The sequence below is a fragment of the Homo sapiens genome, chromosome 10 (genome assembly GCF_000001405.40).
Source record: "Homo sapiens chromosome 10, GRCh38.p14 Primary Assembly".
Lineage (NCBI taxonomy): Eukaryota > Metazoa > Chordata > Mammalia > Primates > Hominidae > Homo > Homo sapiens.
In genome coordinates this window covers 61,027,677-61,042,267 of record NC_000010.11, presented here as the reverse complement: position 1 = coordinate 61,042,267, position 14,591 = coordinate 61,027,677, and the positions used below count along the sequence as shown (strand labels likewise).

At 44.7% G+C, this 14,591-nt stretch overlaps 1 annotated feature.

Moving 5' to 3' along the window:
• Nucleotides 5,631-6,179: an enhancer, noted in NCBI's record as "OCT4-NANOG hESC enhancer chr10:62795847-62796395 (GRCh37/hg19 assembly coordinates)". NCBI's record gives its function as "activates a minimal SCP1, AML or CMV promoter by ChIP-STARR-seq in primed H9 embryonic stem cells {active_cell/tissue: H9 hESC(primed)}" and the evidence as "EXISTENCE:reporter gene assay evidence [ECO:0000049][PMID:30033119]".

The window sequence follows — 14,591 nt, the reverse complement described above, 5'->3', positions numbered from 1 at the left end:
GGGAAAAATATCCATAAGGGAGAATTTTACTTACTTCAAGCAGGAACACCTTATTAGGGTACAATCCCTTTACTGACAAACCCCTCAGCTTTTAGGTGCCAAACTGATTATCCAGGAATTTAGCATATTCGTTTGTTAGCACTGCCATAACAAAATACCTCTGATTGGGTGGCTTAAACAACAGAAATTTATTTTCCACAGTTCTCGAAGCTGAACATCCAAGATCAAGGCATTAGCGGGCTTGGTTTCTCCTGTGGTCTCTCTGCTTGGCTCGTGGATGGCTGCCCTCTTTCTGCCTCTTCACATAGTCACCCTTTTGTGCACCCACATCCCTGGTGTCTCTCTGTGCATCCTAATCTCCTGTTCTTAAAAGGACAACCGGCTGGGCACTGGCATGTAATCCCAGTGTTTCCGGAATTGGTGGGTTCTTGGTTTCACTGACTTCAAGAATGAAGCCGTGGACCCTCGCGGTGAGTGTTGCCGTTTGAGTGTCACAGTTCTAAAAGGCGGCGTGTCTGGAGTTCGTTCCTTCTGATGTTTGGACGTGTTCGAAGTTTCTTCCTTCTGGTGGGTTTGTGGTCTCGCTGGCTTCAGGAGTGAAGCTGCAGACCTTCGTGGTGAGTGTTACAGCTCTTAGGACAGTGCGTCCATAGTTGTTCATTTCTCCCAGTGGGTTCGTGGTCTCACTGGCCTCAGGAGTGAAGCTGCAGACCTTCGCAGTGAGTGTTACAGTTCATAAAGGCAGTGTGGACCCAAAGAGTGAGCAGTAGCAACATTTATTGCAAAGAATGAAAGAACAAAGCTTCCACAGTATTGAAGGGGACCCAAGCAGGTTGCCACTGCTGGCTGGGACAGCCTGCTTTTATTCTCTTATCTGGCCCCACCCACATCCTGCTGATTGTTCCATTTTACAGAGAGCCCATTGGTCTGTTTTACAGAGAGCTGATTGGTCTGTTTTGACAGGGTGCTGATTGGTGCATTTACAATCCCTGAGCTAGACACAAAAGTTCTCCAGGTCCCCACTAGATTAACTAGATACAGAGTGTCAATTGGTGCATTCACAAACCCTGAGCTAGACACAGGGTGCTGATTGGTGTGTTTACAAACCTTGAGCTAGATACAGAGTGCTGATTGGAGTATTTACAATCCCTTAGCTAGACATAAAGATTATCCAAAGCCCCACCAGACTCAGGAGCCCAGCTGGCTTCACCCAGTGGATCCCGCACCAGGGCTGCAGGTGGAGCTGCCTGCCAGTCCAGCACCGTGCACCCGCACTCCTCAGCCCTTGGGCGGTCGATGGGACTGGGTACTGTGGAGCAGGGGGTGGTGCTCATAGGGGAGGCTCCCGCGGCGCCAGAGACCACGGTGGGGGGCGGGGGGAGCTCAGGCATGGCAGGCTGCAGGTCCCGAGCCCTGCCTCGTGGGGAGGCAGTTAAGGCCCACGAGAAATCGAGCACAGCAGTTGCTGGCCCAGGTGCTAAGCCCCTCATTGCCCGGGGCCGCTCTGAGTGCGGGGCCTGCCGAGCCCATGCCCACCAGGAATTCTAGCTGGCCCTCAAGCACCGTGTGCAGCCCCGGTTCCCGCCCGTGCCTCTCCCTCCACACCTCCCCACAGGCTGAGGGAGCCGGCTCCTGCCTTGGCCATCCCAGGAAGGGGCTCCCGCAGTGCAGCGGCAGGCTGAAGGGCTCCTCAAGCAGACAGAGTGGGCACCGAGGCCAAGGAGGCGCCAAGAGCCAGCGAGGGCTGCGAGGGCTGCCAGCATGCTGTCACCTCTCACCAGCACTTTGGGAGGCTGAGGTATCACGAAGTCAGGAGTTCGAAACCAGCCTGGCCAAGATGGTGAAACCTCATGTCTACTAAAAATACAAAATTAGCCAGGTGCAGTAGTGGGCACCCGTAATCCCAGCTACTCAGGAGGCTGAGGCAGGAGAATCACTTGAACCCGGGAGGCAGAGGTTGCAATGAGCTGAGATTGTGCCACTGCACTCCAGCCTGGGCAACAGAGCAAGACTCCGTCTCAAAAAAAAAAAAAGACACCCATCTGGTTGTATTAGGGCCCCACTGTAACATTCTCATTTTAACTCAATGACCTCTTTAAGGACCTTATCTACAAATACAGTTACATTCTGAGTTACTGAGCATTAGAAGGTCAACATTATGGATTGTGGTTGGGGTTTGGGGCACAATTTGTTGCACAACACTTAGAAATCCAGGAATTTGAGTTTGCCTTCTCATGTTCCTGTCAGCACTGACACCTCTGGCTAAATCTATTCTCCTAAGGTCAGGCTTAGACTCCCATGACTTCTCTGTAGCTTCTCTGATCCCATGGCCCATGCTGTCTGTGATGCCATTGTGACAGACAGGACCAGCTGGATTTCCTAGACTAAGAATTCCTAAGCCTAGCTGGGGAAGGTGACCGCGCACCCACCTTTAAACACGGGGCTTGTAACTCAGCTCACACCTGACCAATCAGGTAGTAAAGAGGGCTCACTAAAATACAAATTAGGCTAAAGCAGGAGATAAAGAAACAGCCAAATCATATATCACCTGAGAGCACAGGGGGAGGGACAGTGATCGGGATGTAAACCCAGGCATTCGAGCAGGGAGCAGCAACCCCCTTTGGGTCCCCTCCCATTTTATGGGAGCTCTGTTTTCACTCTATTAAATCTTGCAACCGCACACTCTTCTGGTCCATGTCTGTTACAGCTCAAGCCGAGCTTTCACTCGCCATCCACCACTGCTGTTTGCCGCCATCGCAGACCCGCCACTGACTTCCACCCCTCCGGATATGGCAGGATGTCTTCTGTGCTCCTGATCCAGCAAGGCGCCCATTGCTGCTCCCAATCGGGCTAAAGGCTCCCCATTGTTCCTGCGTGGCTAAGTGCCTGGGTTCTCCTAATCGAGCTGAACACTAGTCGTTGGGTTCCATGGTTCTCTTCTGTGACCCACAGCTTCTAATAGAGCTATAACACTCACCGCATGGCCCAAGGTTCCATTCCTTGGAATCCATGAAGCCAAGAACCCCAGGTCAGAGAAAAAGAGGCTTGCCACCATCTTGGAAGCAGCCCACCACCATCTCGGGAGCTCTAAGAACAAGGACCCTCCCAGTAACATTTTGGTGACCATGAAGGGACATCCAAAGTGGTGAGTAATATTGGACCACTTTTACTTGCTATTCTGTCCTATCCCTACCATACAAAGGTCTGACCAGACCTAGGAGGAACTCCCTTCAGGACAGGACGATAGATGGTTGCTCCCAGGTGATTGAGAAAAAAACCACAATGGGTATTCACTAATTGATAGGGAGACTCTTGTGGAAGCAGAATTAGGAGAATTGCCAAATAATTGGTCTGCTCAAACGCTGGAGCTGTTTGCACTCAGCCAAGCCTTAAACTGCTTAAAGAATCAAAAAACTCTATCTCAATCCTGACTCAAAAGGTTACCTACACCCTCTCTGAAACGAATTTGCATAAGAACTGTTGTTTGTGGGAATGCATCTTAATGGGGCAACTGGGTTGTTATGAAATACTCTGGAACCCACCCCAGCTCTAGGACTCACCACTGAGCACAAAGGCAATGTTGGGCATGCTGGTAAAGGACCACTGGAGTCCAGCAGCCCAGACCCCTTTCTTTGTGATCAAGGAAGGTGGGAAAAGGGGTGCAGGACTGCTACATGGTGAGTGTAACTAATCCGATAAGCAGAGGTCCATGGGTGGTTATGCACCCTGGAAAGGAATAAGCATTAAGACCATAGAGGACGCTCTAGGACTAATGCTCATCGGAAAATGACTAGGGGTGCTGGCATCCCTGTGATTTTTTTGTTTTGTTTTTTGTTTTGTTTTTTTTTTCAGATGGGAAGCATTCCCCCTAAGGCAAATGCCCCTAAGATGTATTCTGGAGAATTTGGCCCAGTCAGAGTGTATGTACCTTTTTCCCTGTCAGACTTAAAGCAAATTAAAATAGGCCTAGGTAAATTCTCAAATAACCCTGATATCTATATTGACATTTTACAAGGGTTAGGACAAAACTTTAATCTGACATGAGAGATATAATGTTACTGCTAGATCAGACACTAACCCCAAATAAGAGAAGTACCACCATAACTGCAGCCCACGAGTTTGGCGATCTCGGGTATCTCAGTCAGGTCAATGAAAGGATGACAACAGAGGAAAGAGAACGATTCTCCACAGGCCAGCAGGCAGTTCCCAATGTAGACCCTCATTGGAACGCAGAATCAGAACATGGAGATTAGTGCAGCAGACATTTGCTAACTTGCGTGCTAGAAGGACTAAGGAAAACTAGGAAGAAGCCTATGAATTATTCAATGATGTCCACTATAACACAGGAAAAGGAAGAAAATCCTACTGCCTTTCTGGACAGACTAAGGGAGGCACTGAGGAAGCATACCTCTCTGTCACCTGACTCTATTGAAGGCCAACTAATTTTAAAGGATAAGTTTATCACTCAGTCAGCTGCAGACATTAAAGAAAAACTTCAAAAGTCCACCTTAGGCCCAGAGCGAAACTTAAAAACCCTATTGAACTTGGCAACCTCTGTTTTTTATAATAGAGATCAGGAGGAGCAGGCGGAACGGGACAAACGAGGTAAGAAAAAGGCCACCACTTTAGTCATGGCCCTCGGGCAAGCGGACTTTGGAGGCTCTGGAACGCGGAAAGCCTGGGCAAATCGAATGCCTAATAGGGCTTGCTTCCAGTGCGGTCTCCAAGGACACTTTAAAAAAGATTGTCCGAATAGAAATAAACCGCCCCCTTGTCCATGCCCCTTATGTCAAGGGAATCACTGGAAGGCCCATTGCCCCAGGGGATGAAGGTCCTCTGAGTCAGAAGCCACTAACCAGATGATCCAGCAGCAGGACAGAGGGTGCCCGGGGCAAGCGCCAGCCCATGCCATCACCCTCACAGAGCCCCGGGTATGTTTGACCATTGAGGGCCAGGAGGTTAACCATCTCCTGGACATTGGCGTGGCCTTCTTAGTCTTACTCTCCTGTCCTGGACAACTGTCCTCCAGATCTGTCACTATCTGAGGGGTCCTAGGACAGCCAGTAACTAGATGCTTCTCCCAGCCACTAAGTTGTAACTGGGGAACTTTACTCTTTTCACATGCTTTTCTAATTATGCCTGAAAGCCCCACTCCCTTGTTAGGGAGAGACATTCTAGCAAAAGCAGAGGCCATTATACACCTGAACACAGGAGAAGGAACACTCGTTTATTGTTCCCTGCTTGAGGAAGGAATTAATCCTGAAGTCTGGGCAACAGAAGGACAATATGGATGAGCAAAGAATGCCTCTCCTGTTCAAGTTAAACTAAAGGATTCCGCCCCCTTTCCCTACCAAAGGCAGTACCCCCTTAGACCTGAGGCCCAACAAGGACTCCAAAAGATTGTTAAGGACCTAAAAGCCCAAGGCCTAGTAAAACCATGCAGTAGCCCCTCTGATACTCCAATTTTAGGAGTACAGAAACCTAATGGACAGTGGAGGTTAGTGCAAGATCTCAGTATTATCAATGAGGCCATTGTCCCTCTATACCAAGCTGTACCTAACCTTTACACTCTGCTTTCCTAAATACCAGAGGAAGGAGAGTGGTTTACAGTCCTGGACCTTAAGGATGCTTTTTCCTGCATCCTGTATATCCTGACTCTCAATTCTTTTTTGCCTTTGAAGATCCTTCGAACCTAATATCTCAACTCACCTGGTTCACGGATAGCCCCCATCTAATTGTCCAGGCATTAGCCCAAGACTTGAGCCAGTTTTCATACCTGGACACTCTTGTCCTTTGGTACATGGATGATTTACTTTTAGCCACCCATTCAGAAACCTTGTGCCATCAAGCCACCCAAGCACTCTTAAATTTCCTTGCCACCTGTGGCTACAAGATTTCCAAAACAAAGGTTCAGCTCTGCTCACAGCAGGTTAAATACTTAGGGCTAAAAGTATCCAAAGGCACCAGGGCCCTCAGTAAGGAATGTATCCAGCCTATACTGGCTCATCCTTATCCCAAAACCTTAAAGCAACTAAGAGGGTTCCTTGGCATAACAGGCTTCTGCCGAATATGGATTCCCAGGTACGGCGAAATAGCCAGGCCATTGTATACACTAATTAAGGAAACTCAGAAAGCCAATACCCATTTAGTAAGATGGACACTTGAAGCAGAGCAGCTTTCCAGGCCCTAAAGAAGGCCCTAACCCAAGCCCCAGTGTTAAGCTTGCCGACGGGGCAAGACTTTTCTTTGTATGTCACAGAAAAAAACAGGAATAGCTCTAGGAGTCCTTACACAGGTCCAAGACACCAGCTTGCAACCTGTGGCATACCTAAGTAAGGAAAATGATGTAACGGCAAAGAGTTGGCCTCATTGTTTATGGGTAGTGGCAGCAATAGCAGTCTTAGTATCTGAAGCAGTTAAAATAATACAGGGAAGAGATCTTACTGTGTGGACATCTCATGATGTAAACGGCATACTCACTGCTAAAGGAGACTTGTTGCTGTCAGGCAACCGTTTGCTTAAATATCAGGCTCTATTACTTAAAGGGCCAGTGCTGTGACTGCGCACTTGTGCAACTCTTAACCCAGCCACATTTCTTCCAAACGATAAAAGATAGAACATAACTGTCGACAGGTGATTGCTCAAACCTACACCACTCGAGGGGACCTTCTAGAGTTTCCCTTGACTGATCCCAACCTCAACTTGTATACTAATGGAAGTTCTTTGTAGAAAAAGGACTTCAAAAAGCAGGGTATGCAGTGGTCGGTAATAATGGAATACTTGAAAGTAATCCCCTCACTCCAGGAACTAGCACTCAGCTGGCAGAACTAATAGCCCTCACTAGGGCACTAGAATTAGGAGAAGAAAAAAGGGTAAATATATATACAGACTGTAAGTATGCTTACCTACTTCTCCATGACCACGCAGCAATATGGAGAGAAAGGGAATTCCTAATTTCAGAGGGAACACCTATCAAACATCGGGAAGCCATTAGGAGATTATTCTTGGCTGTACAGAAACCTAAAGAGATGGCAGTCTTACACTGCTGGGGTCATCAGAAAGGAAAGGAAAGGGAAATAGAAGGGAACTACCAAGCGGATATTGAAGCCAAAAGAGCCACAAGGCTGGACCCTCCATTAGAAATGCTTATAGAAGGACCCCTGGTATGGAGTAATCCCCTCAAGGAAACAAAGCACCAGTACTCAACAGAAGAAATAGATTGGGGAACCTCACAAGGACATAGTTTCCTCCTCTCGGGAGGGCTAGCCACCGAAGAAGGAAAAATAGTTTTGCCTGCAGCTAACCAATGGAAATTACTTAAAACGCTTCACCAAATCTTTCACTCTCACTGCACCTCCTCCATGCCGCTGTACTACCAGTAGCTCCCCTTACCAAGAGCTTCTATGGAGAAATGTGGCTTCCCAGAAATATTGATGCCCCATTGTATAGGAGTTTTTCTAAAGGAAACCCCACTTTCACTGCCCACACTCATATGCCCTTGCACTTCAGGCCATACATTTCAATCCCTGTATCTTTAACCTCCTTGTTAAGTTTGTCTCTTCCAGAATTGAAGCTGTAAAACTACAAATGGCTCTTCAAATGGAGCCCCAGATGCAGTCCATGACTAAGCTCTACTGCGGACCCCTGGACTGGCCTGCTAGCCCATGCTCTGATATTAATGACATGGAAGGCACCCCCCCTGAGGAAATCTCAACTGCACGACCCCTACTATGCCCCAATTCAGCAGGAAGCTGTTAACAGCGGTCATTGGCCAACCTCCCCAACAGCTCTTGGGTTTTCCTGTTGAGAGGGGGAACTGAGAGACAGGACTAGCTGGATTTCCTAGGCCGACTAAGAATTCCTAAGCCTAGCTGGGGAAGGTGACCACACCCACCTTTAAACACGGGGCTTGTAACTCAGCTGACACCCAACCAATCAGGTAGTAAAGAGGGCTCACTAAAATACAAATTAGGCTAAAGCAGGAGGTAAAGAAACAGTCAAGTCATATATCGCCTGAGAGCACAGGGGGAAGGACAGTGATCAGGATGTAAACCCAGGCATTCGAGCAGGGAGTGGCAACCCCCTTTGGGTCCCCTCCCATTTTATGGGAGCCCTGTTTTCACTCTATTAAATCTTGCAACTGCACACTCTTCTGGTTCATGTTTGTTACAGATCAAGCTGAGCTTTCACTCGCCATCCACCACTGCTGTTTGCCGCCATTGCAGACCTGCCACTGACTTCCACCCCTCCGGATCTGGCAGGATGTCTGCTGTGCTCCTGATCCAGCGAGGTGCCCATTGCCGCTCCCGATCGGGCTAAAGGCTCACCATTGTTCCTGCATGGCTAAGTGCCTGGGTTCTCCTAATCGAGCTGAACACTAGTCGCTGGGTTCCACGGTTCTCTTCCGTGACCCATGGCTTCTAATAGAGCTATAACACTCACTGCATGGCCCAAGGTTCCATTCCTTGGAATCCATGAGGCCAAGAACCCCAGGTCAGACTACAAGAGGCGGGCTGCCATCTTGGGAGCAGCCCGCCATCATCTTGGGAGCTCTAAGAACAAGGACTGACGCCCACCCCCCCCCGCCCCAGTAACAATTGCATAGTTACTTCTGCCAAAGTAATCAAGGTCCAAGAAAGGGTATTCTATATAGAATTCTGAGTGACTTGCTTGTCACTTTTGAGTGTGTGTGTACTCTTCTTAATATGGAAAACAAACCTCCCATCCCTTGTTTGAATTTAAACATCAATAAATTAATGACAATAATTCCACTTACATTTGTGTAGAGCTCTACAGCTCTTTAAAGAGAACTATGGAGGAAAGTTGAGCAAAAGATACTAAGAAAGAACAGCCTGGCAGAAAGTAAGAGAACACTAAGGGAATGATGTCAAAAGACAAATGAAGAAGGAGAATCAAATATTGCATAGATGGCTTTAGGGATGTGGACCAATAAAAGGTTACAGAGTTTGGAAATTAAGAAATCATTGATGATCTTAAGAACCATTTCAGTGGAGGGGAGTGAAATGTTGGATGCCAAGTACATTTGGTTGAGAATTTAATGAGTAGCTAATCAGAATAATAAGTATTAGACAATATCTTCAAGATGTAAAAAGATACAGAGAGAAATAAAATAGTAAATAACTTGAAGGGTGACCACTGGAACACAGAGTGGAAAGAAATTAGTTGAAAGGATGGGTGAACATTGAATGAGGTCATAGGCCTAGGATGAGGAGGAAATATAAAGAAATTTAATGAGAATTAGATAAGAAAGAATATGAAAAATGAAGCAAAGTTTGGGAAGAAGAAAGGCCATCCAAGGGATAAAGCACATATAAGAAAATCCTGGAATGCAGTATTGAAGACAATAAGGAAGAAAGCCCACACCCTTTCTTAATAGGGCCTGTCAGGGAAGAATGATTGTCAGCACAGCTAAAAGGAAACATATCTAAGGCTCTCCTGGGGTAGGTAACACCCGGCCATTTTAGCAGTTCCCATTCAATGCCCATTTGAGATGATACATGACACGTTTCAGAAGGCAGCTTAGAAAAGGAGGCCTTTTGGGAACTGAGCAAGTTTTTAAAAATCATTTTGCTGAAAAATCAATTAAGCAAAGAATCAATTCACCAAATTTATCAATTCATTAAAAATGTTTTTCTCTTAACTATTTACAAGTTTACAGCAATTAGTATTGAATGAGATTCAGCTGATTTTTGAAGATTGGGGGGAAGTTTTGGTTGACTAGTTATTTTTTGTTCTTCACGCTACCATTTTAAGGAATATTTACTCTATTAAAAACTAAGTATATTATGTCGCGCTTTATGTATAATTCAATAGCAGTAATCAAAATTTCAGTGCTACCTATGGAGTTTTTATTATACTGACTCAAATATACACTGAATAAGGCATATAATATCAGATTATACTGATTCAAATATATTTTACTTATTTTTTGCCTTGCTCACCCTTTGTTATATTTAAGACTCTTTTGCCAATATATCAAGTGGAATAACCCAGTAATACTGTTATTATAGCAATTAGTGGCCAAAATTTAACTTATGTACATCCCTTAGCTGTGTCACTTGGGCTATTTGTGGCTGTGGAAGAGGCAAGTTTGAGATTTGCTGCAAGAGTACCTGGGGCAGCATCAGCCATAAGGTCACTGGGGGACCCATGATTTCAAGGATAGAATGTGTAATCAGCTTCCCAGAAAACCAGGACACCAGGTTACTAAAGCCCAGAAAAGACCGGAGCTGGAGTGACTCGTGGAGCACTGTTAGCTAACATATTATTTGATCTCTACATCATAATTTTGTTTTTAGATGTAATATACTTTAAATTTAAAGTCCCAACCACACGATCCTTTATAATAATCCCATCTGAGCAGCCTCACTTTCTTTTTCCTTCTTTGAATGGCTTCAACCTTTCCTTTCTCTGCCACTGTCAACAAGTCTATGCCTTCAGATGCTTTCTGTAGTAGCATCAACATCTTTTCCTAAAAGACTGATATCAGAATAAGTGAATGCCAAAATCAATTTTATTTGGGCCAGAAATAAACCTCTTTAATGAGAGAATAACAAATTGGATTATATAAGCATATTTGTAGAGCCCTTTGGGGATGGAAAAGGGTACCTTCTGGCCCATTTCTTTTGAGCATTGGCCCCATGAGGAAGCTGGTGCATGGCCTGAGTCATTTTGCTGGGTCACACTCACAAAGTCAGCCACAAAGTAAGTAGGCAGGGCAGCTGTCCACAATGCTTGGAAAACTGGAGTTGGATTTCCCGTGCTTAAGTTCTGGTCAGTAATAAGTTCAGCTCACTTATTAGTAAATATTCGGCAAATGATTTAATCTCTCTCTGCCTTTTTTTTTCATTCATGAAACTAGGTAAGAATTCAGTGAGTTTACGTGTGTGTGTATGTGTGTGTTTGTGTGTGTGTGTATTTCATGCTTATGTGTGTGGCACATAATAGACACTGAATACATTTTAGTTGTTTTGTGCATACTGGAAAACAGCTTAGACTCACACTTTACTTTGTAAGTTCTTCCCTTGTTGTTTTGCATGAGGTAAGCCTAAAAAGTGGAAATTAAGTTAAATGCTATTATTTTTCTGATATAGGATTTATTTATTCATTCAAGAAATATTTATTGAAGGCATACCACATGTCATGCTTTGTGTTGAATGCATAATGAAATAATAGAGGAAAATAATTATAGTGTCTACCCTCGAGGAGTTTACAGTCTAGTAGGGAGGAGGTCAAACCATAAATAAAGTGCAGTTAGAATGCATGAGGTGAATGATGTGAAGGAAAAGAACAGATGTAAAACAAATGTAAAATGCAAAGCTTCCATCAGTTTAAACCTGTGCTTATGATAGTGGCAATTGGAGTTACTGGTGGCAAGAATACAGGTACTTTATTCTCCTCTTCACTGAAGAATATCCTAGTAGAAAATTAATCATGTCCAGAGTTAGTCTCTTATATAATACATTTGTATCTCTAGATGCTGAGGTTGTTATAGTAGGATTCACTTATATGACCGAAGAGTTAGCTATTAAGCAGTGAATCTTTCCTCAAAAGGAAAGTACAGATTGAAAGAGAAGTAGGTAATATGTACCATGAGAGAGGATGCACTTTGAAAGAGGGAGAGAGGAAATTGAGGAGAGGGTGGAAAGTCTCCCTCAGACTCCTCTCCAGGCTAAGTCTCCTCCATCCGAGCCATTTTTTTTTCCTTTTTTTTGAGACAGAGTCTCACTCTGTCACCCAGGCTGAAGTGCAGTGGCATTATCTCGGCTCACTGCAACTTCCGCCTCCCAAGTTCAAGCAATTCTCCTGCCTCAGCCTCCCAAGTAGCTGGGATTACAGGCATGCCACGCCACACCCAGCTAATTTTTGTATTTTTAGTAGAGATGGAGTTTCACCATGTTGGCCAGGCTGGTCTCAAACTCCTGACCTCAGGTGATCCACTAGCCTCAGCCTCCCAAAGTGCTGGGATTACAGGCATGAGCCACCGTGCCCAGCCTGGAGCCATTTTTCTGTGCCGTGTTTATGTCCTCATGGACACCAAAGAGGGCTGAAAAGTGTACTCCTTTAAAGGGTCTTGGGTTCCTCCACACCTCTGACTCCTTCCAGTTTGGGCTTCACAGAGATAACATGACAAGGGAGGCATAGATCCCTTGGACATAGTGGTGACAGGTTTTTCCATTCCCAAAAGAGACCTAGATTTGCACCAGCAGCATTTGTGACCAGTTGTTTCAATTTGCCTGGAACTGAGATGTTTCCTAGAATGTGAGACATTCAGTGCTAAAACTGGGATGATCCCAGGCTAATCAAGATAGTTGGCCACGCTGATGGCAGAGAAGTCTCACGAAAGCAGATAACCTGATCTGCTTTACGCTCTGGAGCATCTCCATTTTTGGGCCCCTAGTAATGGAGTGTGGTGGTTAAATATGGGGGATTTGGGGATCAGAAAACATGTATCTAAATCTGCTTTTCACCTACAAGCTGTGTAACTGTAAGCATTTTACTGTACCTTTCTGAGCCTCTATTTCCTCACCTGTAAAATCATGACATACTTCACAGGTTTTTGTAAGGATTAAGTAAATAATGAGTGCAAAGTGTTCCACACACCACCTGACACACCACACTGTCAGCACATTCTGTGTGTTAGTCATTAATTTTACTACTTCGGTAGACCTTCAGCAAATATCTGTTACTTGGCTCTATCATGTTTCTGACAGTTACTAATGTTTTTTTCCCTGGAATTTGGGGGTTAGGGAGTAATGAATATGACACCCCCATTGCCTACCGCTATAGACTGAATGCTTATGTTATGTTCCCCCAAAATTCATATGTTGAAATGCTAACCCACAATATGATGGTATTAAGAAGTGAAGCCTTTAGAAGGTGATTAAGTCATGACAGTGGAGCCTCCAAGAATGGGATTAATACCCTCATAAAAGAAACCCCAGAGAGCTTCCTTGCTTCTTCTGCTATGTGATGACTCAGTGAGAAGACAGCCGTCTATAAACTAGGAATCAAGCCCTCGCTAGACATGGAACCTGCCAGCACCTTGATCTTGGACTTCTCATCCTTCAGAACTGAGAAAAATACGTTTCTTTTGTTTATAAGCCACCCATTCTATGGTATTTTGTTAGAGCAGCCCAGATGGACTAAGACACCCACTCTCCCCAACCCAGACTACCTCACATCACAGCTATGATCATGCCTTCCTACGTTCTTTGGAAACTCAGTCATATCCCTTTGTTGTCTCCGTATCTCACCAAGGAGTGTCTTGAGCAGAATACTTCATTGTCCCAGCAACAGACAGAGTCACATTCTCTCCACCTCTCCTTCATCCTGGGACCACCTTCCCAGGAAGACAGGGCTACCTCATACTCATTACTATTGTTAGCGTGGAAAATATTTGGCTGATTCAGCCAGGATTCAGGGGGTAAGCAGAAAGGAGAGGAGCACACTGTGCTCTTTCAAGGGTGTAGGGAAACGTATAGCCAGAAGCCAGGTCACAATCTGTCAGGAGAGAGAGGTTGGGTTTCACTGGGCAGCAGGTTGGCTTTGAACCAAATCCCAAATAATCATTACGGCAAAGGGCTCACTGTATAAATGAAACAGCCAACATATATTATATAAAAAGTAAGTCCAACGAGGAAGCATTTTAGCTTCCCAAGTAAAAAGATTTCTGGACTCCCAAGGGAAAGCTTAGGAGGTATAGAATGAAAGATTTGGGAAAAGCACAGAAAATGCATTAATGCTACTATGATTTTAAAAGAGTAGGGGATTTCTTGGAGCATTTTAAAACTACACTCAGTAACCCCACCAAAATTCTGAGACACCCCCTTTGAAACACCCCCTCCAACACACATACACATGTCCCATGAAAATCTCTAGAACTGTGATATGTGATTATCCATGGAGTGTGTCTCATCCTCACATCCATGATGCCAGTGGGGAAGCAAGACTGAGACTTCATGGCTGGTGAATAGAGCACTGGGCTAGGAGACCAGAGATCTTCATTTCAACCCAATCCATTTGTGACAGTGGCAAATCAACCACTTCTTTGTTCTTCAGCTGCTCCAGCAGTAAAAGGATCACAGCCATTTCTGTTCATTTCTCCTGCAGAGGGTACTTGTAAAAGGGAATAAGATCTCATGTGTGGAGACACTCTTCAGAAGATGAGAATGTGTGCATACCTTATATTATTAATAATAAAAATTGGATTCAAAAATTCTGCCTAGACACTTTTGTCAAACGGCCAGGCATGTGTAATTCCTCTGTAATGATACCAGTTATTTGTACTACCTAGTCTTTGGAAATTTGAAGGTACTTTTTTAAGCAACAGGAGATCACTATATAATCACTTTATACTAAATATAGTAGAAAGAATATATTACATTCTTTTTATAATAGAAAGAATATACTATATTCTATAGTATAGAAAGTAGTAAAGAATATACTACTTTCTACTATATAGTAGAAGAATATACTACTTTCTACTACATATATATATACTATATTCTTTCTACTATAGATTGCTATATAAGCACTTCCCACTAAATATTTCCAATATGATCTTTGTT